At 36.0% G+C, this 3273-nt stretch overlaps 1 annotated feature.

The window, feature by feature from the left end:
- Nucleotides 2507–2676: an enhancer, noted in NCBI's record as "experimental_102756 CRE fragment used in MPRA reporter constructs". NCBI's record gives its function as "activates a minimal promoter by MPRAs in K562 erythroleukemia cells, with activity observed for the introgressed 8:21387431 variant allele {active_cell/tissue: K562}" and the evidence as "EXISTENCE:reporter gene assay evidence [ECO:0000049][PMID:34662402]".

Here is a 3273-nt window from a genome sequence, read left to right as displayed (position 1 = left end):
ATTGAGGGGAGCTAGGGAGCTCTCCATTTGGGTAAGAATACAAAGCAAGTTCTTTGTGTTTACTAATATTTCAATTTTCTTTAAAATAGATGGCTCCCTTTCAGTCAACAATTGAGCATATCTGTAACTTGGGGCACTTACCTGTCATTTAAATCTTCTGAAAGCAGCCTGACAAGGACCTTGGGGAGTTAGTCCACAGGACATTAACCGTCAATTATTCTGGGTTCTCTAAGTGTACTCTCTCTCTACCAAGTTCTATTACCAGGAAGACATATGCTATACTACATTATTTTAGCTTCCCATAGAAATGTCTTTTCAGAAAACGGTGATCTAATATTATGCTTTCAGTTTCCATCTAGTGTTGATAAAAGAAGCAGTGATATGAAGAGTACTCTGCAACTTTTGTATAACTGCTGTTGAAGATACTGTTCATTATGTTGTTCAATATCTTATACAGAGGCCTAGGAGAATGGCTCTCATTTTTTTCTTTTTAATCACGGAATCCGTTCTTCAAATAAAAGCTTATGTGGAAACGTAATACCTGTAATAGATTAATATGGTTAAATGGAAACTGGAGTCCCTTGGCCCTTGTCTTTTCTCTCCTTCTGCATTTATTTTTTTTTTATCTCCTTACCCACCACCTCACACACCCCTGCTCAATTCCTTGTTAAAGGTCTCATAGCATAAAAATCACTAGTGCTAGTCTAAGGTAGATGTTTTTCTGGGAATTCACTACATGGACAAGATTTGTCTCATCTGACAAATAGTTGTGTTCATTTTGATATAACCCAGATTTGTAACTCAATGTATTTCTCTTCTTGCCTTGGATGCAAGGAAATTCAGATAAATTAGGGGCTCAAAATGCAGTATTTCTTGACTATTATTTGTAAACATAGCTAAAAATGGCTGTCTCCCACTTTTTTTTTTTTTGCAACGGAAGATAATAGAGGGTTGAATTTATTATATTTCCCAGTTCCAGGTACATTATCATTACTGGTTCAGACAAGGCCCCTCTGTTGTAAACATAAAGGTGTGTATGTATATGTTTATTTATCCTCCTTTATCCATAAACTCTATTTTTATTCCTATTTCCCCTACCCTGTAGGCAGCCATATTCTAATGGATTTAATATATGTTAAGCTCTGTTCCTGAAACTGTGTATTGTTTTTTATGCACACACATACACACACATTGTTTCATACATTCTTCACCATCCACATTGCTATATATAAGTATAACCTACTGCTTTCAACTGCTGCATAGTACCCTATGGTGAATAATTACAACATAGCATATGTCTTCCTTCCCAGTGATGTGCACCCAGGTTGACTCCTACTACTGGCTACCACAAATAACACTGCAAAGAGATCTTTATATATGTGCCCTTGTGACTGTATAAGAATTTATCTGGGATATGTAGATATAGAAGTAGAATTTGGGGGCCATAACATGTGTTTATATTGAATATGACTATGTACTGGCAGATTGTGCAGTCCAATGGCTACACCCATCCACACTCCCACCAGCAGTGCAAGAAGGTTCCTGCTTCTTTAAATCCCCAGTGACTCTTGGCATTATTCAATTTTCTTACATTTTCCAGTCTGTATTTTTTTGTTTTCTTAATTTGCATTTTTCTTATTCTTAATTATTTTGAGCAGATAGTCATATGCTTGTTTTGGATTATTTTTTCATTTTTCCTTCTATAAATTACCTGCTTGTATCTGTTGCCCATTTTTCTGTTGAGATTCCCATCTTTTTATTGTTGATTTTCAAGAGTTCTTTTATATTCTGAATTAGCTTTGTCCAAAAGAAATACAATGTGAGGTACACACATACAAATTAAAATTTAAAGATTAAAAAGAAACCAGTGAAATTATTTTTAAAAATATATTTTATTTAATCTATTTTATTTACCCCAATATATGTAAAATATGATCATTTTAATATAAAGCCAACCAGTTTTTGTAGTAATAAGTCCTCAAAAATCTCAGGTGATCTGCCTGCATCACCCTCATGAAGTGCTGGGATTACAGGCCAGCTGCCTTAATTTTATCATTTAACTTTTTCCTCTGTTTTAAGTAGTCCTAGTTTGTATACTACAAAAAGTAGTTTTTCATAGAGAATCTCTATTTTTCTGTGTCTCTCTCTCTTAGAAGTTCACATATAAAATTTCTGTGGCGAAAGTTCTTTATATTGGCTTGTAAGAGCTTACACCTCTTGGAAAATAAAATTATACAAATCATGATCTCTGCTTCTGGCTAAAGAAACAAGGTCCTGACTTATACACTTATCTGAAACAAATGGAAAAAAGGAAAAAATACTATATGTATGTGTGTATGTACGTGTATATATACACAGAAACATACATATATGTATGGAGGAATGTATACATACATACATACGTACACATCTACACATATGTGTGCATGTGATATAAAACCACAGTTTTCAAGACTGGACATAAGATCAGGCAACAGCAAACCTTGAGAGATGGGAAACAGATGACATAATATCGATTGTTTCCCCAGGTTACCACCTGAAGAGAGATTTCAGGCCGTAGCAGAGAGAGAAGAAAACCACATGGAACCCAGGGTTTTCCCTGAGTTGAGAATTTGAAGCTGGGATCTGGGGGATATCAAGGAAGCTGGGCCGGGGCAATTTCCAGAGAGAAAAGAGTGTGTGTGTGGCGGGGTGGGGCTGTGGGGAGAGTGGGAGAATGAACGTGCATGTATGCAAACATATGGATGGTGTGCTTCAAAGTTGGGGAGGAGTGAGGGAAAGAGAAAGCTCTGTGGATTTCAGTAGGTCACTCATAAGTCTTCAGCTGAGTACTGGTCAGCACACCTGAATGAGAAAACAATTGAAGCTGGAGAAGGAATGACCCGAAGAGATCAGAACAAGCAATATCAAAGCCCACACAGGGCCAGAATTAGTCTTGTTCCCACCAGAAACAGTAAAAAATAAACAACACCACCACATACACACACACACACACACACACTCACACACACACACACACCCCCCACAAACTATTCTACCCAATTCATTGAGCATAAGGTAGTATATTCAGAAGACCTTTAATTCATTCATGGGAAAAAATTATACCTATACTAAAAATTGGTCTGGTACTGCCTAATAAAAGTTGACGGCAATACTTAGAAGATTCAAACTATTTTTATTTAACATACCTTCATTTTAGAAAATGACTCAATAGTATTTATTGGAATGTGAAAATATACACCCAACCATGAAAAGTTCACAATGATTAATACC

Source organism: Homo sapiens, chromosome 8 (assembly GCF_000001405.40).
Source record: "Homo sapiens chromosome 8, GRCh38.p14 Primary Assembly".
Taxonomy (NCBI): domain Eukaryota; kingdom Metazoa; phylum Chordata; class Mammalia; order Primates; family Hominidae; genus Homo; species Homo sapiens.
Note: the sequence above shows the minus strand (reverse complement) of the source record. Positions and strands in the feature narration are given on the sequence as shown.